At 37.7% G+C, this 26,198-nt stretch overlaps 1 protein-coding gene across 2 annotated transcripts in view; it reads right to left on the bottom strand.

Moving 5' to 3' along the window:
- The window catches only part of ABCB5 (ATP binding cassette subfamily B member 5), a 141,342-nt gene that overhangs the window by 31,216 nt on the left and 83,928 nt on the right, over positions 1 to 26,198 (bottom strand). For both annotated transcript variants that reach the window (NM_001163941.2, NM_178559.6), the window contains 4 exons: positions 25,864 to 25,968; positions 25,658 to 25,735; positions 20,986 to 21,069; positions 2,574 to 2,777 (listed from right to left, as the gene is read on the bottom strand). In NM_001163941.2, the coding sequence (NP_001157413.1) occupies positions 2,574 to 2,777; positions 20,986 to 21,069; positions 25,658 to 25,735; positions 25,864 to 25,968 (471 nt within the window). The remainder of the gene's footprint in view (positions 1 to 2,573; positions 2,778 to 20,985; positions 21,070 to 25,657; positions 25,736 to 25,863; positions 25,969 to 26,198) is intronic.

Genomic DNA, 26,198 nt, shown 5'->3' with positions numbered 1-26,198 from the left:
GAATGCTGAAACCTTGTTTGAGGAAAAACAAAAGGAATGAATATAAAAAAATTTTGAGGAAAAACAAAAGGAATGAAGATAAAAAAAGGAATGAACATTAAAAAAATCTCCAATTTTTCACAATGGAGAAGGGATGAATATTATTACAGACCCTTAGAAAATAGTCATTAAGAAAACTAATTAAGCTATTCAAAGTCTTTTTTTGTTTTCTTTTGAGATGGAGTCTTGCTCTGTTGCCCAGGCTGGAGTGCAGTGGTGCGATCTTGGCTCACTGCAACCTCTGCCTCCTGGCTTCAAGTGATTCTCCTGCCTTAGCCTCCTGAGTAGCTGGGATTGCAGGCGTGTGCCACCATACCTGGTTAATTTTTGTATTTTTAGTAGAGACAGGGTTTCACCATGTTGGTCAGGCTGGTCTCGAACTCCTGACCTTGTGATCCACCTGCCTCGGCCTCCCAAAGTGTTGGGATTACAGGCGTAAGCCAGCGCACCTGGCCCATTCAAAGTCTTAAAAACTAAACGTTTGATAATTTTTCCAAATCTACACATGCAACTGAAGAAGGACCGATACATTTTATTAGTCTATGTTCTAAATTGATGTTTAGTAAATTGACTTATTAAAAGCCATAGGGAAATGCCTCCAATTGACTATTTGATTAGAGTTGTTTGTTGTATAGTCTGAGGTTGCTCTAATGATACATAAAGGAAAAGTCAAAGGGCACATATACAGCAAAAGCTCATGACATAAAAAATAAGATGAGGAAAACATAATTAGGCCTCATTAATTTAGAAATTGTATAAATTATTGCAATGTTTAAATTAGACAAGGAGGTCTAAACAACTGTTTACTGTCTCTGAGGCGAATATTTGCTAGGTAGTTCAGACTATACAGCACAAGCAAACAATCCAAGGGTCCTTATCTTGTGCAAAAAAAGGTGGAAAGGTCTAAGGCTCAGGCAAACGAGATTACAGTGAGTTATGTGCTTGGCATCCCTATTCATGAATATGTATGACATTTATGCTATGCCAATTGTGACACATTCACCGTGATACAGACTATAAAGGATATTAACATCATTTTGCTATTCAGAGGATGTACACCAGTGTAGCCAAGAGCTCTGAAACAGTATTAGGAGAGGAACACCCTTTTTTTTTTTTTTTTTTTTTGAGACAGAGCTGTGCTCTGTCGCCCAAGTTGGAGTGCAGTGGTGCAATCTCAGCTCACTGCAACCTCCACCTCCTGGGTTCAAGTGATTCTCCTGCCTCAGCCTCCCAAGTAACTGGGATTACAGGCACGCACCACCATACCCGGCTAACTTTTTGTATTTTTCGTAGAGATGGGGTTTCATTATGTTGGCCAGGCTGGTTTCAAACTCCTGACCTCAAAAGATCCGCCCATCTCGGCCTCCCAAAGTTCTGGGATTACAGGTGTGAGGAACATCTTAAAGACCTGGATGTAGAGTCAACAGAAGTCTCCTTGTTTACAGCGATTCAGCTGCTAAAGGGCTGTCGTGAAAAACAGATTTTGGACCTCTACCAAGATGAAAGCCAAGAAGAGTAAGATAGAAGTCCACCAATAAATAAATAAATAAATAAGACAAGAAAAAAAGAAAGAAAAGGAAAAGAACTGCCTACCACCCAAGACTATCCAAGTACAGGCAGCCTGGGAAAGTAATGTACTACCTGCCACTGGAGGAAAAGGTGGTAGGAGATGGGGATGGACGCTTGACAGGGATGTTGTGCAAGGGACTCCTACTTCAGGTTAATGGTTGGGTCAGATGATGTCTCTTTCAATTCTTAGGTGTTATGATGCCACCATAATGTTTCCTTCAGTCTCTAATATAATAATTATTTGTATGAATATGGTTGATCCTAAGAAGCTTAAATACCTGTATGTCCAGGCATTTTCCAAATGATTAAATAAATTGGTCATTTATGGTCCTGTCTCTAAAGCCTTGTTTTATATGTTATCAATATCAGTGCATGGCCTTGCATTCAGTAACTGCTGCATTGCCTGTTTGTTTTGAAAAATAAAATATTCAGAAGAATTGCTCAAGAAAATTTGATTATTCAATGACCAGAAAATGGGGAATGATGATGTTTGAAAACTTCCCCAGTAATAATGGCTGACATTAGTACGTGCTTACTGTCTTCCAGACACTGTTCTAAGTGTTTTGCGTATAATAACATTGTGTTTTATGCAATATTCACAAAAATTTGTAAGTGAATACTCGTATTATTCCCACTTTGCAGATGAGAAACCTGAAGTCTACAAAGGTTGACATAACCTGCTCATATCACACGTTTGTTAGCATAGAATCTGGATTCTAACTCAGCTAATTAGACTCCAGAGCCTGTGCTCTAAATCATGTACCCTATTGCTATAACATATCTACCTTCTATCCTAAATTGGTCTGTATGCATTTCTCTCTCTATACATATCACTTTACAGATCCCTAAGAGATGAAGTTAATATATCATAAAGATGGTTAACACATCATATAGTTAACATATCATAAAGTTCTGACTGTTTTTCTCTTTAAATGTTACGATGGTGATAACAGTCTTCATTTTACCTTTCCAGCATGCTTAAGTTCTTGCTTATCTTTGTTGGCAAATCCAGTCATTGCTGCGGTTTCAATCATTCCTGTCACGGCAAGTACTGGAGCAATACTCAGAATCAGGAATGTCATCTCCCATCCATATATAAAGGAAATGATAACTGAAAGTCCCATGTTAGTTGCATTTTGTGTTAAGACGCCAATCCTGGAACCTGTTGCCTATAATCAGACATATTTTGGGGGAAAAAACTCAATTAACTTTACATTTACAAGAGTTCCTATTATAGTTCCTTGCAAAACAAGGTAGACTTTTTAAAAAAAGAATTTATACTTAAATTTATGCCTTGAATTTATACTTTGAGATTAAATAAGATACATATTTTTATTTATTTACTTATTTTATTTTTTTTTCCGGGATGGAGTCCCACTCTGTCACCCAGGCTGGAGTGCAGTGGCGCAATCTCGGCTCACTGCAACCTCCGACTCCTGGGTTCAAGCGATTCTCTTGCCTCAGCCTCTGGAGCAGCTGGGATTACAGGCAACCGCCACCAAGCCCAGCTAATTTTTTTATATTTTTAGTAGAGATGGGGTTTCGCCATGTTGGCCAAGCTGGTCTCAAACTCCTGACCTCAGGTGATCTGCCTGCCTCAAAATGCCCTAAACTAAGGAAATATTATACTTTATTTTTATGTCTTGATGTCCAATATTGAGATGTCCAAATGAACTGGATTTTAGTTTAGTGGAATACCATAGAAGACTGTATAGAAGCATGATAGGAACAGACAATCTGAAATTAAATACTACCTCCTTAAAGGGAGACTTTTATGTGGCTCTGAGACCTCTCCTTAAATAGTTTAGCAGGATTTTACAGCCCAGTGCAAGTTGAGTGTGTTGAAAGCTGAAGTTACAGGATTTCCTTTGTCTTCTCAATGATAGGTACATACCCACATTCTTCTTGTTTCTTTACACCCAAACACCCAGCAATAATACAACAACTCATTTGTGCATAAACATAGATACTAACACCCTGCCATCTCTTCAACCCTAACTTACAGATAAGTTCTTGGTAATAAAGCTGATGTTTGAAAATGACAGAATCATAGTTACTATTAACAAAAAACTAAAGAAAGAGTCTATCTTTAGTTAAGCATTTTTTACTATTTCCTATTTATAAAGTTGTAATCACATTTGCTAGGAATTTTATACAAAATCAATATTTTAATAAATACTAGCATCAAAGTACCAGTTTTACATACATGCATAATTGACATGTACTTAAAATTTAAGTTTTTGGAAAAGATGGCTTGAGTTATGCATATAAATTCTTTTAGAAGGTTTTACATATTCTATTTCACGGAGAGTAAAAAGGAAGAGAATGCTATACTTTAGCTTAGGTATTTACTACAATAGAATCTAAATCACCTTCAAAAATGTTCTAAAGTGAATTCTTAACTCCTATTTGAATGGAAAAAATTTGCATTATGGAACCTGTAAAAATGAGATTTTTGTATATTTTTTGTACATTTACCGTTCACACAAATTATCTCTTTCTATTGGTGAAGATATTATAATCATGCAAGGAATAACCCATGCTGTCTGACTCAGTGCTTTTTGGAGCATGAAGCTTTGTGTTGGAGAGGCAAGAGTTGCTATGGAAAGGAAACCAACATGGACAGGAAACAGTAGGGCAGAAGGGAAGACACACTAAAAGTGGGCCAAAATAGGAGAAAGGTCAAAAATAAATAGTAACCATAATTCTCATATTATAGTTGGAGCTAATATATAAAGGTACTCAAAAACTAGCCAACTTTAACTAGGCACTAAATAACCTCTTTACCTTTACCAACTTATTTAATCTCATAACAATGCAAAGAGATGGATACTATCACTAGTCCCGTACAATAGATGAGGAAACAAAAGTAGTCAGACAAAATAACCTGCCCACAGCCATACGCTTGTAACTGGAGGATAAAGAACTCTTTGTTCCCTGAATCACTTGGGATTAAGTGGCTGACCTGATACTCTATCATCCCTGCATACTTAGAGATGATGTTTCATAAACAAGAACATTCTCTCTCTTATCCAAAATACCATGATCAAAATCAGGAAACTACATAACTATCGTTTAATGCTTAGACTTCCTTCAAGTTTTATCAGTTGTCTCAATAATGTATTTTATAGTGAAAGGATATCTACATTGGAATCACACATTTCATTTAGGTGTCAGGCCTCTTTAGTCTCCTTTAATATGGAATAATTCTTCATTCTTTTTTTTTTTTTTTTTTTTTTTTGAGGCAGAGTTTCGCTCTGTCGCCCAGGCTGGAGTGCAGTGGCGCGATCTCGACTCACTGCAAGCTCCGCCTCCCGGGTTCACGCCATTCTCCTGCCTCAGCCTCCCGTGTAGCTGGGACTACAGGCGCGCACCACCATGCCCGGCTAATTTTTGTATTTTTAGTAGAGACGGGGTTTCACCGTGTTAGCCAGGATGGTCTCGATCTCCTGACCTCGTGATCCGCCCGTCTCGGCCTCCCAAACTGCTGGGATTACAGGCGTGAGCCACCGCGCCTGGCCTCTTCATTCTTAACTTGATGTTCATGACCTTGACTTTTTTGAAGATCGCGAGCCAGATATCTGGTAGAAATTTCTCAATTTTAGCTTATCTGATATTTCCTCACAATTAGATTCAAATTATGCATCTTAGAGAAGTGATGCTGTGTTCTTCTCATTGCATCCTATCAAGTGGCACGCAGTTTTGATTGGTCCCATTCCAGGCATTGTTCACTTGTAATAATTAATTAAGATGGTTTCTTCCAGGTTTCTCCGCTATGAAGTTGTTCTTTCTCCCTTTGTAATTAATAAATGTCTTGAAGCACTTTGAAGCTATGTCAAAATCCAATTTCTCATCAAACTTTCAACTTATTTATTGTAGTATGAACTAATGACTTTTAAATTTCTTCAGTTGTTTATAACCTGTTACTATAATCATTTATTTTGACTCAAATTATCCCAGATGTAGCCAGTGGAAGTCCCTTCACGTTGGCTTTGTCCTTTGACATATACCTATCAGTTTTGGAATATGTCCTTACTTTCTGACACAAAATGATTTTCCAGTTTCATCTTGTACTGTCTCTGCCCTACTTTTGGAATTAGTCATTTCTCCAAAGATCCCTGGGTTCTTTTAGTGGAGAATTTTATTTAGCAGTCAAGATATGGTGCTGGTTGTACTCATTATTACTAGAATTCAGTGGTCAGACTAGAGAATGTGTGTGTGTGTGTGTGTGTGTGTGTGTGTATTGATAGGTACAAACACACATTTACATCTATATTTGTTTCTGTATATTTCTTGAAACTCATGAGTCATATCAATACCTCCAATTCCAAGTCAACATTGTAAGGTTATTTCCAGTTTTCTCCTTTTCCATATTTGTTATACCCCTCTTCACAAGGGAGAAAACTGGCTCCCATTGTCTTTAATAGATTGATCTATGTGATTAATCTCTCCATGGGTAACCCATCTGCTCTCATGTCTCCTGCCTCTTCCCTGCACGAACACCCTCCTCACCCTGCTCTGGCTCTGCTTCCCTGCACGGGGCTGCCACCACACTGGGTGTCATAATATCGGGGCTGCAAACCCCAGCCCTACCCCTTTCCCACACTGACGGAAGGCCAGCACTCTTAGCCACTCTATCATAGTAGTGTTGAGTTGAATGATTATGGATATTCATTAAAGTGTATACTTTGGATACGATTTCTCTCATTCCCATTTTTGCACATTATAAATTGGTTTCACTCAGTAAAGATCTAAGAGGCAATATCAAGATAGAAAAGGAGTCATAGTATGAGGTAAAATAAATTTTTAAAATACCTTCAAATATGTAGAATTATCTTTATAACTTTTATAAGAACTACACATTTTATGGATCATCTTTCAGTGGGATGTATGATACTTAAGCAATAAGCTGAAACATAAAGTTCTTTAGTGCTGGGATTAAAAAAAAATGAGGGCCCCTATTTACCTGGAAAGACAGAATTGACCACAGTTTGAAATATATTTTTTGCTCTGATCATGAAAACAGGATCATTAGAAAAAGCTTAGATAAAGTTAAAATCTACATGCTTCTAGACATAAATACTTATACACATTCAGATTTGGTTTATTACGTGCATGCAGTTTTGTATCCTGATTTATTCCTTGTACATTATACTGCAGTTATTAAATATTCTCCAAAAATATTTGGGTTGCCTTCAATTTGGGTTGCTTTCGTTATTAAAAATAAAGATGTAATGAACATCTTTGTGAAAAATCTTTGTTCTCATTTACACCTACTTACACTCAAATGCCCTATTGTTAAATTTCTAACTGGAATTACACCTTAAAAGGTGTAATTCTCCCAACTTGAAGGGACTTCCACTGGCTGAATCTGGGATAATTTGAGTCAAAATAAATGATTATAGTAACAGGTTATAAACCTCTGAAGAAATTTAAAAAGGTGTATATACTCTTACATTCTTGATGGGTATTGCCAAATTGCTTCCCTAAAAGATTACATCAATTTTCACCAAACTATAAAAAAATTAGCATCTTCATTAAAAAATAACCATAACAAATCCTCCCTCCCCCCCAGGGCTCTGCCTAATTCCTAAAAAACTTTGTGGTTTCAGTTTCAAGACTGTATCTGGTGATGACTCAACCATTTTCCAATTTCTCACTAAAACATCTAAGGAAATTTCAAAAAAGTAAAAACACACAACAGCAAACACTCAAAAAACTATGAAATACTGAAAACTAAGATCGACAAGGTAGCCTGGTTAAGTGTTTAAGGGTATGATACACTAACTCTAAGAACCATGGGCCTAAATGGGGATGCCATTTGGCATATAATGCTGACTTACAGTTCATCCCCTGGAAGTTTAAGGATAAAAGAGATAAATGGTGATGTATGTTATAGGCTACATTGTGTCCCTCCGACCCTACATTTATATGTTTAGGTCTAACCTCCAGTTTATCAGAATGTTACTGTATTTGGGCCAGGCGCCGTGGCTCACGCCTGGAATCCCAGGACTTTGGGAGGCCGAGGCGGGCTGGTCACGAGGTCCGGAGATCAAGACCATCCTGGCTAACACGGTGAAACCCCGTCTCTACTAAAAAAAAAAACCACAAAAAAATTAGCCAGGCGTGGTGGCGGGCGCCTGTAGTCCCAGCTACTCAGGAGGCTGAGGCAGGAGAATGGCGTTAACTCGGGAGGTGGAGCTTGCAATGAGCCGAGATTGCGCCACTGCACTCCAGCCTGGGCGACAGAGCGAGGCTCTGTATCAAAAAAAAAAAAAAAAAAAAAAAAAAAAAAAAAAAAGAATGTTACAAGAATGTTACCGTATTTGGAGATAAGGTAATTATAAATAAATAAATTATAGATACAGGGATAATTAAGTTAAAGTGAAGTTTTTAAGGTAGGCTCTAATCTAACCTGATAGATATTCTTGTAAGAAGAGGAAATTTGGGCCAGGTGCGGTGGCTCGCGCCTGTAATCCCAGCACTTTGGGAGGCCGAGGCGGGCAGATCATGAGGTCAGGAGTCTGAGACCAGCCTTATCAACATGGTGAAACCTCATCTCTACTAAAAATAAATTAGCCGGGCATGGTGGTGCGTGTCTGTAATCCCAGCTACTCAGGACGCTGAGGCAGGAGAATCGCTTGAACCCGGGAGGCGGAGGTTGCAGTGAGCCAACATAACGCCACTGCAGTCCAGCCTGGGAGACAGAGCAAAAGTCTGTCTCAAAAGAAAAAAAAAAAAAAAAAAGAGGAAATCTGGACACAGCAGACACTGCATACACAGAGAAGATCCTGTGAGGACGCATAGAAGACAGCCAACTACAAGCCAAGGCCCTCGGAGTAAAACCCAATCGTGCGGACATCTTGTTCTTGGGCTTCTAGCTTCCAGAACTGTAAGGAAATGAATGTCTGTTGTTGCAGCCTCCTAGTCTGTGGTCCTTTGTTATGGAAGCCCGAGCTGACTAACACACTGTCCTTGCTCCTCTGCCTCCCACCCCCCACCATAAGTTTCAGAGTCATATGGACTAGACAACCGGTGAGATGCTGTGGACCTTAAGTTCTTGGCATTGTTGGAGGCCTTCCATGTCTTTCCTTAAATACTAAATGCTCCTGGTGCGGGGTCATCTCAAGCTCCAGATGGGAAGACCAGTCTGGAGTGTGGCGTTCAGGTCGGGTAAGTGCTTGTAAGCCTGGGCTTTGTCGGTAGGTGTTTGGCCATCTAAGCCTTGGGACTGGAGGAGATCGCTGGGGAATCGAGTAGATGGCGAAAGGAGATTCCCTAAGGCTGCGCTGGGGTTCGGCACGCTTTAGAATTCCTAAGGGAAAGCTGTATTGCTAACAGGCTGTAGGGTTCAGCCCTCACCCACTTTGCTTTTCTGAATGAACTCCTAGATTGTCCAGTTTCTCTTCTAGGGAAATGACAAGGGCTCCTGTTTTCAAATTTTGTTGCTTTTCCTTACTGTAAAGCTGACCTTAAGAATAACTTTTCCTCTTTTCCAGGCCCATTCCTCTCCTTACTATGGTCTTTTGAATTGAATACATGTCCCCACAATTCATCTTTAATGTTTATTAATGCATATAAGTGTGTCCATGAAAACTATATGGTAATGCTTTTGTGTTTATCCCTTAAAATGTCCACTAAAGTACTGTGTTTAAAATCTGGGGTACAATAAAAAAAAAATTGGTCTTTGCCCTTGGTTCCTGGAAAGTGCTCCTAAAAAAATACTAAATGCTCCTATAGCTACATAAAATTTATATATATTGTGATGTGCAATCATTGGAGCTATTTTTTAAAATTATAATTATGTGTTGTTGAGAATAAGATATTCATTGTTCTTTAAATATAAAATTTATTTTATCTAAATATTATCAAGAATTACTTGTCATCAATTACTTGATAGGGGGTTATGTTTTGTAGACCTTGATACATGTATTAATTTCCACTTGGAAGTTTCTTTTAATATTTTGAAGCCAATGATTTTTACTTTTTTGGATTTCAATTCTTGGCACAGTATCTATATTGTCGAAAGGATAAAACATATCCACTGGGGCAGTTATTCTTTTCTGTTTGGATATCTCCTATTAGGTAACCATAATATAGTTCCTGATTCCTCACTACCTTCTGTTGTTTGTGTTCTATTAACTTTAAAGATTATAGTTCAGCTGGGCACGGTGGCTCACACCTGTAATCCCAGCACTTTGGGATTACAGGCCGAGGTGGGAGGATCACCAGAGGTCAGGAGTTCGATACCAGCCTGACCAACGTGGTGAAAGCCCGTCTCTACTAAAAATACAAAAATTAGCTGGGCGTGGTGGTGGGCACCTGTAGTCCCAGCTAATTGAGAGGCTGAGGCAGGAGAGTCGCTTGAACCCGGGAGGCGGAGGTTGCAGTGAGATGAGATACTGCCACTGCACTCCAGCCTGGGTGACAGAGAGACTGTCTCAAAAAAAAAAAAAAAGATTATAGCTCGCTCTAGGCTGGGTGCGGTGGCTCATACTTATAATCCCAGCACTTTGGGAGGCCCAAGTGGGAGGATCACTTGAGCCCAGGAGTTCAAGACCAGCCTAGGCAACCATGCAAGACTCTGTCTCTACATAAAAATGAAAAAATTAGCCAGGCACAGTGGCGTGCACCTGGTTCCAGCTACTTGGGAGGCTGAGGTGGGAGCATCCCTTCAGCCCAAGAGTTTGAGGTTGCAGTGAACTAGGATCATGCAACTGCACTCTAACTTGGGTGACAGAGTGAGACCCTGTTTCACACACACACACGCACACACACACATACACCACGCATTCCAGCTCTAGACATTAAAGCAAAAGGAAATGAAGTAAGTAGTAGAGGCCATGCGCGGCGGCTCACACCTGTAATCCTAGCACTTTGGGAGGCTGAGGCGGGTGGATCACCTGAGGTCAGGAGTTCAAAACCAGCCTGGCCAATGTGGTGAAACTCCATTTCTGCTAAAAATACAAAAAAATTAACTGGGCATGATGGCAGGCACCTGTAATCCAGCAACTTAAGAGGCTGAGGCAGGAGAATTGGGTGAACCCAGGAGGTGAAGGTTGCAGTGAGTTGAGATCATGCCACTGCACTCCAGCTTGGGCAACAGAATGAGACTCTGTCTCATAATAAATAAATAAAAGGGGTAGAAAATAAGAAAAGTAAAGACAAAAAGCATGCTGAGCATTGTAGTTTTCATGTATAAGCTTGGGTAGTGTATTAGGGAAAGAAGTAGAAATACTTCACAGAGCCACGCTAGACAAATATTTGAGAGTCATGTCACTTAAAGTTTGTCTAAGGACTATACACACCAACCTAATTTCTAAAAGTATCCAAGAGTGAACTTGACAGATTTTTGATGAGACAGGCTTCTCTATTTGAGTTTTTTGTTTGGGACACAAGAACTTTCTACGAAGTGGCTTGTACTTGCATATCTTTGCTTGCTTAATAAGCTTGGGTTTTCCATTCTTGTGTTAATCTGCTGCTGGAAAATAGAATTATATCCTTTCTATAGTTCATTTTAGTTTAAATTACCACAAACTTATTGAAATGTTCAGTCAGTGCGACCGAGAACAAGCCACAAACCCTGCTTTTCGGTGTTGGTGGTACAATGAGAAAGATCTGAATATATTTCTTCTGTTCCAAGAAGAATAAACAGAAAATAAGAGACTCTTGGCCTCGAGGAGTACTACAAGAATTGAAGGAAAACGGAATGTGGTCTTAAAGACCCAGAAAAATAGTGTACCTCTGGAAAGAATTTAAAACTGGAATCAGAAGAAATTTAATTAAGCTTTCTTAGATTCTTTAGCAAGAGGCACAAAAATACAGGTTTTTTTTTTGAAATTAAGAACAAAAAGTCTTGTTTAATTCTTGAGATAAGTTATTTATGGAGTGTCTACTATGTCTTAGGTACTACGCTAGATGTGGGGGATATCACTTTGATAAGAAAATTATGAAAGGAAGGAAACTCAGTATGCAATTGTAGAAATAAAATGCCATATGGTAGGATTTCTGCTTCTCACCAAGACAGAGTAACAAGGATTTATCCTCTCATCTAAAACCAAACAAAAAATAGACAAAATACATGAACCAGTGGTTTTCAAGACACTGAACATAAGGCAACCACGGGCAGAGGTGGCAAACAAACAAGGTGACCCCTGTGGTTGCTGTGGCTTACTACCTTAAGAGTTTCCAGGTGGCAGTGCAAAGAGCCCAATAGACTCTGAGTTGAGCAGACAAAGCTGAGAATCTCAGGAATCTAAGTCAGCTAGAGTTTGCAGCATAGAATACTAGAGAAGAGAGAGATTCACAGAATGATAAATCGAGATATCTGCAGAGGGTCCTTCTTGAGTATTCAGCTGAGTAGTGCATACATGTCAGGACTGGGATTAGTGCCTGGTAACAGCAGCCAGACTGGAAAACCTTCTGAGCCACAGGGCGTAGGTAGAGTATGTGGAAGGGTTTTGCCTTTGTAGTAGGCTCCACTCCTGCTTGACAAACCTTAAAACCAAGACCCAAAAAGATCAAACTATTCCCAGGTAACTTAACTGTATTCCACAACAAAACCCAGAATATTTATAGAAATGTAAAAATATCCAGCACCAAAAATTTTAAATTCACAATGTGTAGCATCCAGTCAGAAATTGGCAGGGGGTTAGGCATGGTGGCTCACACCTGTAATCCCAGCACTTTGGGAGGCTAAGGTGGGAGGACCACGTGAACTCAGGAGTTCAAGACCAGCCTGGACAACACAGTGAGACCCTGTCTCTACAAAATTAAAAAAATTAGCTGAGTGTGGTACCATGTACCTCTCATTTCAGCTGCATGGAAAGCTGAGGCAGGAGGATTGCTTGAGCCTGCTCCCAAGTCAAGGATACAGTGAACTGTGTTCATGCCACTGCACTTGAGCCTGGGTAACAAAATGAGACCCTGTCTGGAAAAAAAAAAAAATTCCCAGGCATGCAAAGTGGCAAAATAAGACCTATGATAAGGATAAAAATGAATCCATGGACACCAACCCAGAATTGACAAAATGTTAGATATGCCACATGATCTCACTTATATGTAGAATCTAAAAAAGCCAAACTCATAGAGACAGAGAGTAAAATCATGGTTTCTAGGAGATGGGGATTCAGGGGGTTGAGAAGATGTTGGTAAAAGGACACACAATTTCAATTAGGAGGAATAAGTTTAAGAGATCTGTTGTATATCGTGGTAACTATAGTTAATAATAATGTATTGTAAACTTGAAAATTACCAAGAAAATAGATTTGAAGTGTTCTCACCACACAAAAAATAAGTATGTGAAATAATGCATATGTTAAATAGCTTAATTTATCCATTTCATAATGACTACATATATAAAACATCATTTTTATACCCTAAATATATAAAACTTTTACTTATCAATTTAAAAAGCTACTACCAATGTATATACTACATATTAGAATAGTTAAGAGATAAGGAAGCTATAAAAAAGTCCATATTAAAATTCTAAAAATAAAAAATATAATATCTGAGATGAAAAATATATATGATAGGATCAATAGCAGATTAAATATTGAAGAAGAAAAGATCATTGGTTTTGAAGACATGGCATAGAAACTATTCAAAATAAATGCAGAAAAAAATGAACAAAGCATTGCTGAGATGTGGTAAAACTTCAGGCAGCCTAATATATGTAGAATTAGAGTCCTTGAAGGAGAGGTGAGACTAGAAAGACAGAAAAAAATACTTAGATAAATAATGGTCAATAGAGTTTTAAAATTTGGTGAAAACTATAAGCCCATAAATCTAAGAATTTCAGTGAACTTCAAGCATAAGAAACAAGTAGGAAGCTATTTCAAAACCCATCACAATCACATTTCAAAGTCAGTGATAAAGAGAGCATCTTAAAAGCAAAGGAAGAAATATACATTATGATCAGAGGAAAAAAGATAAGGATAATGACAAATTCTTGGTTGAAAAAATCAAACGAGAAGACAGTAGAGCAATATCTCAATATCTTTTTTTTTTTTTTTTTTTTTTTTGACGGCGTCTTGCTGTGTCACCCAGGCTGGAGTGGGACTACAGGTGCCTGCCAGCATGCCCGGCTAATGTTTTTGTATTTTTTAGTAGAGATGGGGTTTCACTGTGTTAGCCAGGATGGTTTCAATCTCCTGACCTCGTGGTCCACCCGCCTCGGCCTCCCAAAGTGCTGGGATTACAGGCGTAAGCCACTGTGCCCAGCTGAGCAATATCTTGAAAGAAAGAAAGAAAAAGAAAGAGAGAGAAAGAAAGGAAGGAAGGAAGGAAGGAGGGAGGGAGGGAGGGAGGGAGGGAGGAAGGAAAGAAAGAAAGAAAAGAAAGAAAGAAAGAAAGAAAGAAAGAAAGAAAGAAAGAAAGAAAGAAAGAAAGAAAGAAAGAAAGAGAAAGAAGGAAAGGCAGGCAGGCTGGGCTGGGTGCAGTGGCTCACACCCATAATCCCAGCACTTCAGGAGGCTGAGGTGGGCAGCTCACTTGAGCCCAGGAGTTCAAGACTAGCTTGAGCAACATGGTGAAACCCTGTATCTACAAACAATTAACTGGACATGGTGGCATGTGCCCAGAGTCCCAGCTACTCAGGAGGCTGAAGTGGGAGGATCACCTGAGCCTGGTAGGTCAAGGCTGCAATGAGTAGTGATCACACCACTGCACTCCAGCCTGGATAACAGAGTGAGACCGTGTCTCAAAAAAAAAAAAAGAAAGAAAGAATGGAAAGAAAAAACTGTCAACCTCAAATTTCATAACTGGTGGAAATATATTTCAAAAAAATTAAGGTGAAATAAAGACTTTTCAGGCATAAAAAACCTGAAATAATTAGTCACTATCAAGCTTAACGCTTTAAGAAAGGTGAAAAAAAGACCTGGATGCAGAAGGAAAATGATACCAATGGAAATAGGTACCTAGAATAAGGAAGGAAGAGACCAGAAATGTTAGCTACGTGAGTAAATACATAGGACTTTACATATTTATTTAAAATTCTTTAATAAAAGATGATTGTTAAGCAAAAATAATTACAATGTAGTATGGGTTTATTACATATATAGAAGGAGACTGTATGACAACAATAGCAAAAGATTTGGAGGGGAAAATGGAAGTACTGCACTATTTTAAGTTTCTTACGCTGTAAGTTGACATCCATATTGCTTGAAGGTAGACTGTGATAAGTTAAAGATGGGTACTATAAAGCCTAAAGTAACCACTAGAATAACAAAACAAAACATTATACTTAGCAATATCACTTTCCTTACTCCTCCAAAAAGAGATGAAATAGAATACTAAAAAATTTTAATCCAAAAGAAGGCAGAAAAATAGGAAAACTGTGCAAAGAACATATGGAATAAAGAGCAAATTGCAAAATGAGAGACTTAAACCTAATCATTTTGATAACCACATTAAATGAAAATGGTCTGAATATCCCATTCAGATATTCAAAGAGACTTATATGCTGCCTGTGAGAATCACACTCTAAATACAGACACACAAATAGAATAAAAGTACAAGGGCATAGTTCACATGGATTTCTTCTTTTGTAAAATGCCACTTGAAGTTCTTTTGTGGATTTTTTATTGCGTGGGTTGACAAACTATAGATTACAGGCCAAATCTGACCCTCTATCTGCTTTTATATTGTCCATAAGATAAGAATGTTTTTTATATTTTTTTAATGGTTAGGAAAAAATCAAGAGAAGAATAATATTTTGCATCATGTAAAAGTGGTATGCAATTCAAATTTCAGTGTCTGTAAATAAAGTTTTATTGAAACACAGTCATGCCCCCCCCCCACTTTTTTTTTTTTTTGAGGTGGAGTTTCACTCTTGTTGCCCAGGCTGGAGTGCAATGGCACGATCTCAGCTCACCTCAACCTCTGCCTCCCGGGTTCAAACGATTTTCCTGCCTCAGCCTCCCGAGTAGCTGGGATTATAGATGCCCCCCACCACGCCCACCTAATTTTTAGTAGAGAGACGGTCTCACCATGTTGGCCAGGCTGGTCTTGAACTCCCGACCTCAGGTGATCCACCCGCCTCGGTCTCCCAAAGTGCTGGGTGCTGGGATTACAGGCGTGAGCCACCACCCCTGGCTACCTATTTTTTTTCTTTTTTTTTTTTAGAGTCTTGCTCTGTCGCCCAGGATGGAGTGCAGTGGCATGGTCTTGGCCTCCACCTCCCGGGTTCAAGCGATTCTCTTCCTTCAGCCTCCCGAGTGGCTGTGATTACAGGCACCCACCACCACACCCAGCTAATTTTTGTGGTTTGAGTAGAGACAGGGTTTCACCATGTTGGCAGCCTGGTGTCTAACACCTCAGGTGATCCGCCCACCTTGTCCTCCCAGAGTGCTGCGATTACAGGTGTGAGCCACCTTGCCCAGCCTTATCTTAACGAACTGGCTGACTGTCATGTTTACCTATTGTTTAGGCTGTCTTAGGTTATAGTGATGGTAGCTGCTAGAGAAACCATATGTGCCACTCTCATCACTTTACCCTGCTTCTCAGCATGCTACACATCTCAGTGACGTGGTTAGAATTTGAGAGCATGTTGAGTTTTGCTGTACTGTTACACTTTATCCTAGTTTTTAAAAATACCATTGCATACCCATCATCTCAAAACAGAAAATAAGAGAAATGTGGACTTTCAATGCCATGTTTTTAAGGAACGGTGGGCTGTGAGTTATTTTGTATTCAAATTAGATGCCACAGCATTGTGTTTTTTATGCTATGACACTAAATAGTGCTGAAAAATACAAAATATGTCAACATTAGCAGACTGAACACTCATCGCAATATTCCCCACTTACAGGAAAGCAGCATTCAGAAAACTAGAAAATATAAAACAAAATATCTTGTCTTAGCAGAATTTCTTCGCAAAACTAAAATATGAAAATGAGAATGAAACCAAAGTAAATTTTTAAGTGGCTTATTCATTGGCCAAGCAAAGAAAGGCACTTATGGATTGTGAGTTAATTATATCATGTTTGATTGTAGCAGTGGAAGAAATGTGTTCAGACTGCGTAACTTATATAAGGCTGCCATTTGGTGAGAACAGTTGCTCATAGTTACAGACGTTGAGAGTAACATCCACAGTCAATTAAAAAATAAGGTAGATTATTTTGAGTAGTTTTTCCTGGATCTTGATGAGTTGACATATGTTACTGACACTGCTCAGTTGCTGGTTTTTTGAGGAGCCAACGTTGAATTTGAAGTAAGTGAAAAGTTAGGCACTATAAATAGTTTCTGTGGAACAAGTACTGCTGAGAATATTTTCAAAGAAGTTGAGGAAAAAAAATAAGTACAATCCAAAGTAGAATCTACTAAGATACATTACAACTGATGGTTAAAATATTTGTACAGCAGAAAACAAGCCTTGGTTGGACAAATTTACAAAGCTTGTGAAAATGTAAAGTGTTTAAGGCCTACGGTTATTTATTATTATTATTTGTCAGCATATATTTTATGGGAAGTAATTGAATTTATCATGCATTATTGGACCAGTAGTGTAAATGGTTAAGTTCATTTGCTCTTGTAAACGTAACCATCTTCATTTTTGTGAGTTTTTGTCAAGGGAAATTTTTGACTTACCTTACCACTCAGCAGTTTGATGGCTTAGCAGTGGTAAAGTTTTTTGCAATATTATGAATTCAAGGCCAAGATTGAAAAACAATTTTTTTTCAGACAAGATCTCACTTTGTCACCCAGGCTACAGTGCAGTAGGACAATTATGGCTCACTGCAGCCTTGACCTCCCAGGCTCGAGCGATCCTCCTGCCTTGGCCTCCTGAATTACTGGGATTACTGATGTGAGCCACTGCACCTTGCTTGAAAACTTTTTTTAAAAGAGCCGTCCTTAACCACTATTATCAAATACTAAATGCCTCTGGATATTAGCTTCTGCTGTAGATTTGATTATCTTTCTTAATTCAACCTAAAACTGCAAGACAAAACAGCAATTATACGCCAACCTTATGCTGTGGAAAAGTCATTTCCATGGCAACATTGTTTGAATCAAAAGTAATGTCAAGTTGTTTTACACACTTCCCATGTCAAAAAGTTAAATTAAGAAATGAGGTTACCGCCGGGCGCGGTGGCTCACGCCTGTAATCCAGCACTTTGGGAGGCCGAGGCGGGCGGATCACGAGGTCAGGAGATCGAGACCATCCTGGCTAACATGGTGAAAACCCGTCTCTACTAAAAATACAAAAAAAATTAGCTGGGCATAGTAGCAGGCACCTGTAGTCCCAGCTACTCGGGAGGCTGAGGCAGGAGAATGGCGTGAACCTGGGAGGCGGAGCTTGCAGTGAGCCGAGATCGCGCCACTGCATTCCAGCCTGGGCGAGAGCGAGACCCCGTCTCAAAAAAAAAAAAAAAAAAAAAAGAAATGAGGTTACCATTGTCCAGGTAATAATATCTTAGTTCTAACTAGTAAACTCACTGGGTTTTTGGAATTAATACGTGAAATAAATGTTTACGATTTATTTGGGCAACATATTACAGCTCTGATGAGAAGAGTTCTAGGTTCTAGCATTGGATGTGTCTGTGGTATATCAAATGCACACTGTGGTGTCAATAACACACTTTCTTGTGGACAAAAATGAAATAAGACTTTTGGTTGATGAAAAGAGATCGCCAAAATGTACAGAAATAATACCTTGTAATTTTACAGAATTGAGTTTCCAAAATAATCTAAAATGGCTTTTAGCTTTAATTAAAGCACATATTACACAGAAAATAGTCTGTTGACAGATGTACTGGCAATAGGCTATTCCCTTGGGCTAAAACAATATCAGTTAAATTGGTTGTATTCAGACAACTATCTAGGAATCATGTTGTCCTATGACTCTATTTCACTAGCATGTTTTTATCATGACTTTCAAAAATATCAAAGCTTTAAAAAATGGCCAGAGGAATACCTTTACAGTCATGAGTTAAAGGTTTCAAACTAAGATTTGTTATTATTAAGGAGCTATTTTATGAACATTCATTCTAATATATTTGATAGAATAAAATATAACTGAAATTACATGATGAAGAAATTGAGATGAGTATGACTTATTTAAGTCAATATGATAGGAAATATGACCCCCAAATTATTATTTCCTAGCTCATCTTTATGCTACAGTGTCCTTGTGAGGAAGAATTCATTTGTGGACAAATAAGTTTGGTAAACAACTCTTCCTTTTATAGAAAAACTGTCCATTGAAATTGAATATGAATCCATCTTTATATGGCAAAGTAAGAATTTTTATAAATTACATTTTATTAGACACAGTCTCACTCCTGAAATCTTTCTTCGATTGTTTTATTCATTAACTTAATTTTTAAAATTAGATTTTTTAAAATATAGAGATAGAGTCCCACTATGTTGTCCAGGCTGGAGTACAGTGGCTCTTCACAGGTACTATCCCACTACTGATCAGCCTGAGAGTTTTACTGACTCCATTTGCAACCTGGGACAGTTTACCCCTTGTTTTACTTTTTAAATTTGGCAACTTTAAAATCTTTCATCAGGATTCCAACCATTTATTCTCTAGCTACTAGTTCTAATGAAAAAGATTTGACTTGTCTAGAAGTTATTGTGAGACCAGCACTTAATAACTGCAACAATGAAGTTTCAAGTGATGAAATGATATTAGTCAGGTGCTTATAATCAGGTTGACAACTATTCCCCGTAATTTCCCTCAGGGACAATACTATTTATTAGTAACAATTAATAAATGTAAGGACAGTAATGTTGGGTCTTTCAGTATAATTTGGTTTTTCAGTTGAAGCAAATATCTGCTAAAAGAAATGTCTCACATATTAATATAGCTGCTGGTAAGAATGCCTGTTTCACTCAAAAGATTCCGAAAAGATTTGAAATATAAGTAGTAAGAGACAAACATTAACACAGTAAAGAAAAAATAGCAAATTTTGTGGAGTGGGAATTCAAATGGAATTATAGGGATTGATATTTCTGCCTGGAGTAGTATACCATGGAATTCCTAAACTCAGAAGTTAATCAGATAATTATATTGTGCTACGGAGGTTAATGCTATACCCATTATTTGATTATTAAGTGAAATTCTATCCACCATCTTTTCATGTATGCCAATAAAATTGAACTCCTCAGCCCTATTTTAGAATCTAAATACTATCTAACAAAATTCTAGAACCTTGCCTTCAAAATTAACAAAATGAATTTCAGGAAGAGATGAAGATGCCCACTTTCCTCTCGAGCTCTTTCTCCATCATAAAATTAGCTTTGTAAACCAAAATGAATGCTTGTGAATATTCACAACTGTAACCCACTTATTCTATTTTCTGATAATATAAATCCGATCTTGCCGATGTATATTAAACAAAGAGGTCTTGCAAAAGTTAAAAAAAAAAAACAACTTAGAACGGTTGCCATATCCTGTGGAAATAATCTCTAAAAGAAACATACAATTCTGATGGGTTGCTTTAGTTGACAGTTTGTTGCTCTGCTAACAAAGCTTCAAGCAACATCTCAGTATTCCTAAACAGAATAAATACTTGTAAGATTTTTCTGTTATTCAGAAGTGAATTATTGACATTTTCCTTTTCTCCCAAATGCATGATAAGGAAAAAGGAAAGCCTATAACTCTACTAGAATTTTTATTTTAACAGAAATAGAAAGCTTTATTTTACTTCAGTTTAAAGTAGGAAACCTTGTTTTCTGCTGCTTTTCTCAGTTAAGATCCCATTTGTTGTACAAAGGTGAATTTTGTTAAAATAATTAAAAGAAAACTAACAAATTATTACTTACCTCTTCTATACTCCTCTACTCCCCACAGCTGTTTAAGCATGACTTTGATACATATTATGCTGGTCATTCCATCACTAATTATGAATATATACAAATATCTTGGTTATGCATATTACTGGTCATGATTACACAATTCTTTTTAACTTGTATAACAAGTAGTACAGAATCATTTCTGATGCACACATGACTCTGAATTGTTAGACATTATTTTAACTAAAATCTTATTTTCTGGGGGAAGGAAAAACTAAACCTTTTTCTTATATTAAAACTCAAAGTGTGTGTGTTTTCATTTCGTTACTTTTCCTTATCTAACTATTTAATTCTGAGCTCTTTTTTCTAACTTATTCTTGGTCTCTTCTTTAGTCCTCTAGTTATCCTATTACAGGTACTAAATATTCTCTATTTTTGGTTAAAAATATCCAGAACGGAAAGTCTTCCTTTCATCTTTCACTGAGAGTTACCTGTTAACCGTGAGACTTACCTGGCCTCATTAATGATGTGGGTCATCTCAGCACAGCTCACATATATGCACAGACACATGTGTGCATTGCATGTGTGCACACCACATACATACATCATTTACAATAAAAACAATATACATACTCCTTGAATTTGTGCTATATCTATGGCTAATATTGTTGTCAAGCCTCCTGTGCTGTTTTCCTTTTCATCAAACCAGGCAATATCCTAGAGAAAAGGAGAATTAACATATGGTTGTCAAAAATCATTTTTTTTATCTGACTTGTGATTTTTCTGCTGTAAATCAGAAAACATTTACCTGCCTCCTCACTCACAGGTACTTAATTCCTATAAAATACTATGGATTGAATGACTGTTGCTTATTTTTTCATGAAGATCTATATTTATATATAAACTGAAGAACTTAAGCCCAAGAGCTTGGACTCATTACTCATCACCACATATAGTATAATAATCAATGTTGAATTAAAATGGTCATTTTCAACCATCAAGTGATTTGTAATTTTATTCCATAAGTCATTTGTGAAAAGCAGACATAATTCAAAAGTAAGGCGATGAAGGCCAGAGCGGTGGCTCACACCTGTAATTCCAACACTTTGGAAGGCCAAGGTGGGAGGATTGAGTCTAGGGGGTCGAGACCAGCCTGGCCAACATGGCAAAACTCTGTCTTTACAAAAAACACAAACATTAGCTGGGCATGGTGGTGTGCACCTGTGGTCCCAGCTACTTGGGAGGCTGAGGTGGGGAGGATTGCTTGAGCCTGGGAGGCAGAGGTTTCAGTGAGCTGAGATTACACCACTGCACTCCAGCTCGGATGCCAGAGTGAGACCCTGTCTCACAAAAAAAAAAAAAAAAGGAAGGCAATAAACAACACAATTTAGAAATATCTTCAAAACTTTCTACCTAAACTAACTAATGATAAAAAGTCTATCTCTTTCTCTTTAGGGGCCATATAATAAAGATTTTCCCTGATGCTTCACATTACCTCCTAGAACTTACAGCAATGGGCGTTGTGAGAAGCTAAAAGGGCAGAAGGCTGTGAAACTCCTGAAGTTAAGAGGTATGCAATCTAAAGAAGGAGTCACGTCAAAATTACAAGCAATAAAAGTATAATGTAATAACCAATTTTATTTTCAACAGCAAATGGAGACAGCACATCTTAGTGCTTCTCAGCCTGAGGAATTCTGATTTCCTCTTATAGCTATTGAATGTTTCCTCACACTCACTGGAACCACTTGTATCTCTTGTAGATTAAAACCATGTGGAAACTGTCTCTGAAAGATGGTTTATTTTTAGTGAGTAAAGAACAAAAAAATCTTGGCTTACTGCAACCCAGCCAGGGCTCTGAGGCCCAGGTAACAGGCAAAACAAAGGCATAGCAGGTTGAGGGCTGTGCCTTAATCACGCACATCATATGTTAGATGAAAACTTTTATGGAGGAATATGGTAGGAGCCAGGCATGATAGCACCACCCTGAGCCACTGTGTTGGGAAGGTGTCTGCATGAGCTTCGGGTCCTAGATGCCCAAAGAGCATCCTATGGAGATTACAGTCTGCACCGGACAGTAGCCACTTTGAAAGCACAATCCCAGGCAAGAGCCTAACATACTGTGAATACACAGCAGCAACAATAATAAACACAGCACTGCTGAACTGAAAGACATCACCTGCTTTTTATTGTGTTCTCTCTCTCCAAAATTAAGATATTTTATGTATTTTCTAATTGGTTCTAGATTTCAACATGACATGGAATGCACAGATCATTTTTAGATACAGTATAAAGTAAAAAATATGAAAAGAATTTATTATTGAATATTACATTCCTGATTCTATAGTAACTCGCTGTAAAACACCATGAATAGGTACATATGTGATTAATCTTAGTCATTATCTGATGTTCAGTTGGCAAGATGTCTGAAATTGCTTTTTGGCAAGACAGCAATTGTGTACTCCAGGGATTGTTTTCCAGCATAGGCAATATATATGAAAACATTTAGGGAGGCCAAGATGGGTGGATCACGAGGTCAGGAGATCGAGACCATCTTGGCTAACATGGTGAAATCCCATCTCCACTAAAAATACAAAAAAAAAAAAAAAAAAAAATTAGCCAGGCGTGGCGGTGGGCGCCTGTAGTCCCAGCTACTCAGGAGGCTGAGGCATGAGAATGGCGTGAACCCTGGAGGCGGAGCTTGCAGTGAGCCGAGATCACGCCATTGCAGTCCAGCCTGGGCGACAGAGCGAGACTGTGTCTCAGGAAAAAAAAAAAAAAAAAAAAATCCATTATATGTAATACTAATTGTTTAGTTAGCCTCAATGGATATTTTTTGTTAAAAACTTTGTTTTTTAAACTTTCAAGTTGAAGAGTACATGTGTAGGTTTGTGATACAGGTAAACTTGTGTCATGGGGGTTTGTTGTACAGATTATTTAAGTTCTTAATCAATTATTTTGTTCGGCCTGCCATCTGACTGAAGAATTACAGCTGAGTTTCATGACCTGTTTCTCATGCTCCAGGACTCATTACCTCAAAGCCTTTTGGAATTAGCTTAGGTAAATTTTGAAGCCCCTTAGTGATCACCATCAATGCTATCATAATTTAAAGAACCCCAAGAAGCCTTAGCCAATCTAATTTAGAGGGAAATGGGGAAAAATAAACTTCTTACATGTTCAAAAACTCAATAGCTCTATAGGTAATTATTTATCATTAAGAATTGTAAACTTAACTTTGAAACACAATGAACGACGAATTATTCAGTGACTGAAGTCAGCAACACTTAGAACATTCTTTTCAACAGGAAGAATCTAAAGTAATCACATAAAATATGGATTTTATACCTACACACACCTGTTTCTTTACATACCTCTACCTCAAATGAAGTTTCACAATGGTTATAAAAAGCACTGCAAGTCTGAGCACGGTTGTTAAATTTTAAAAAGTCTTATCTTAGGACAAAAATCAGGTAATAAGAGTTAGATAAAACTGCACACTAGGGGCTTCCCTTACTATAGACAAAGCAAAACTGTGAAGATGCTTACAAAGAAAGGGCTAAATATACTAGTCTTCTTTTTCTCCAATTTTAAAAGGTAAAGCTAAGAATCAAAAAGAGTGCTGAAGGATGAAGAAGGAAAACAAACAACTTAACTTATGGGGATATTTAATAACATGTGCTAAGTGGCATAGACTTTCTGTGCAAGTCTTTGTGAGTATGTACATGATATTTTAAAACCCAGAGTTTATGGCTTATAGTTTCAAGCATCCTTATTAGCAGAAGCTACTGTATCTAAAAATGTTACAGTCCTAATATTCACATGGCTAATGCTAGACAGAGGATTAATGTCCAGTATTAACCATCAAAATACTAGATTAACCACAGTTTCTCTCATTAAACGGTCTCATGGCTTTGAAATTCTTCCACTAAAAGCATTCCATGAACAGAAAGGAAGTTCAAAGTATGCTTGGAAAAATTAAAATTTATATTCTTCTGTATAAAAACAAACATCTAGGCATTCAGGAAACCTTTTCAAAAGTTTCTAGAAATTTAAAATAAATTTATTTGAACAGGGAAAAAGATAAATTTAAAGAAAAACAAAAATGAGCAGAAATAGTCAACAAATGTGAAATACAGTATTAGTTAATTAAAGTCTCAACTTATTTCTTGGAATATTTGCAGTAAAGACCTAAAGTATTCATAAATTAAAAAATAATAATGTACAACTTTAACATGAGAGGTATGTGCTGGCATCAAATTGATTTATGATCCTACAAGTAGACTTTTGTTTTTCTGGATTAAGGAGTGTCTCCAAATGTGGAACAAGAAGCAGAAATGGGACCTTTTTGCACAGAAGGTGTAAGGTCACCCATTGCTTTAGACCACGGTGTTGCCGTGGGAAACCTCCGACTTGCTTCTTTCCGTTTTGTATCTTGTAGCTCCCTAAGAGTACAGCTGTTGCACGGCAGCCTTCAGAGCACTGCTCCTAAAAGTCATAAGACTTAAAAATGGGTTTTGACGACTCAGTTGGAGTGACAGTAACTCTATTTCTGAAAAGAAATCACCTTGGCAGGAAGCTATTTGCTCCTGCCTGGTGAGCTTTTGTGACAGAAAGTGAGGTGAAGGGCTACTAATGATTACTGGCTTTCAGGGTAACCCAATACATTTTAGCCTCGTGAAAGAATTTTAGAGGTGCCAGTCTGAGACATTCCTTCCATTTGCCCCCAAGACTCACTTCTCAAGATTACTACTTGATCCACCTATTTTTAGTTATTTCACAGCGGGGACTGATCATCTGCGTGAGGCAGGCAGACCTGGCAGCTAGACCGATGTTATCTGAGTTCAGGACTCTTCTGATAAAGGCAGAGAGATTGGCTGCTTTAAGAAGTGTAGAGTCAAAAAACTTAAGCTATGCACATGAATTAGAACCACAGAAATTAACAACTTCTTTTCAGATACATTCCCAAGATATGGTAGCTCTTACTTCTCCTTTTTAATTTGGCCTTCCGTTCTGATCCCAGAACACTACATCATTCATTAAAAGAAAGATTTGTCAAGATGAATGCAAGGAACAATGAGTAGATCCTACATTCTTTTCTATAAGCTGTATTTTTTTAACGTCACACTTTTGGACTTGCTTCTTTTAGAAAAATATAAGACTTCTGACATCAGATTTTTGCTGCTTAGAACAAAAAGAGTGTGCTTTCAAAGAAAGATTATGTCAAAAATTGACTTGAGACAGAATTAAAGCTAGAATGTTTTACAATAAATTTTAAATAAAATAAAAAAAAAATCAACTTATCACTGACCTGATATAACATGGCTTTGAAGGCCAAGTGTCTTAATCTCATCGTTAAAATTTCCCCTGCTCTGCCGTAAAATAATCCCTGAAAAGCAAACAAACAAAAATCTACGTTCTTTTCCTTTGTAACATTTAGTTGATATATTTTTAACTCAAATAGAAAGAATGGCAACAAAAAGTAATCATGCTCAGGCTTGTTTATTAAAAGCTTACCTGCATGAAATAACTGACAAAGCAAATAACACCCAAAATGACGAATATCATGGAATAAATTTCTGCATCATGCTTTAATGTGGTTTTATCATTATTTCCAAACATCTGAAAAGGAACAGATTTTTATCAGGTGTTTGGGGGAAAATATAAAAGAAACAGAAAAAGTGAAAATTTCTGTATATCAGGAGTTTTAAAATACATTTCTTTTTTTTTTTTCTTTTATGAGACAGAATCTTGCTCTGTCGCCCAGGCTGGAGTGCAGTGTTGCGATCTCAGTCTTGGCTCAATGCAACCTCTGCCTCCCAGGTTCAAGTGATTCTCATGCCTCAGCCTCC

This window comes from Homo sapiens, chromosome 7 (genome assembly GCF_000001405.40).
Source record: "Homo sapiens chromosome 7, GRCh38.p14 Primary Assembly".
In the NCBI taxonomy this organism is placed as follows: Eukaryota; Metazoa; Chordata; class Mammalia; order Primates; family Hominidae; genus Homo; species Homo sapiens.
The sequence above is the reverse complement of the archived record's forward strand: the minus strand, read 5'-3'. Positions and strand labels throughout refer to the sequence as shown.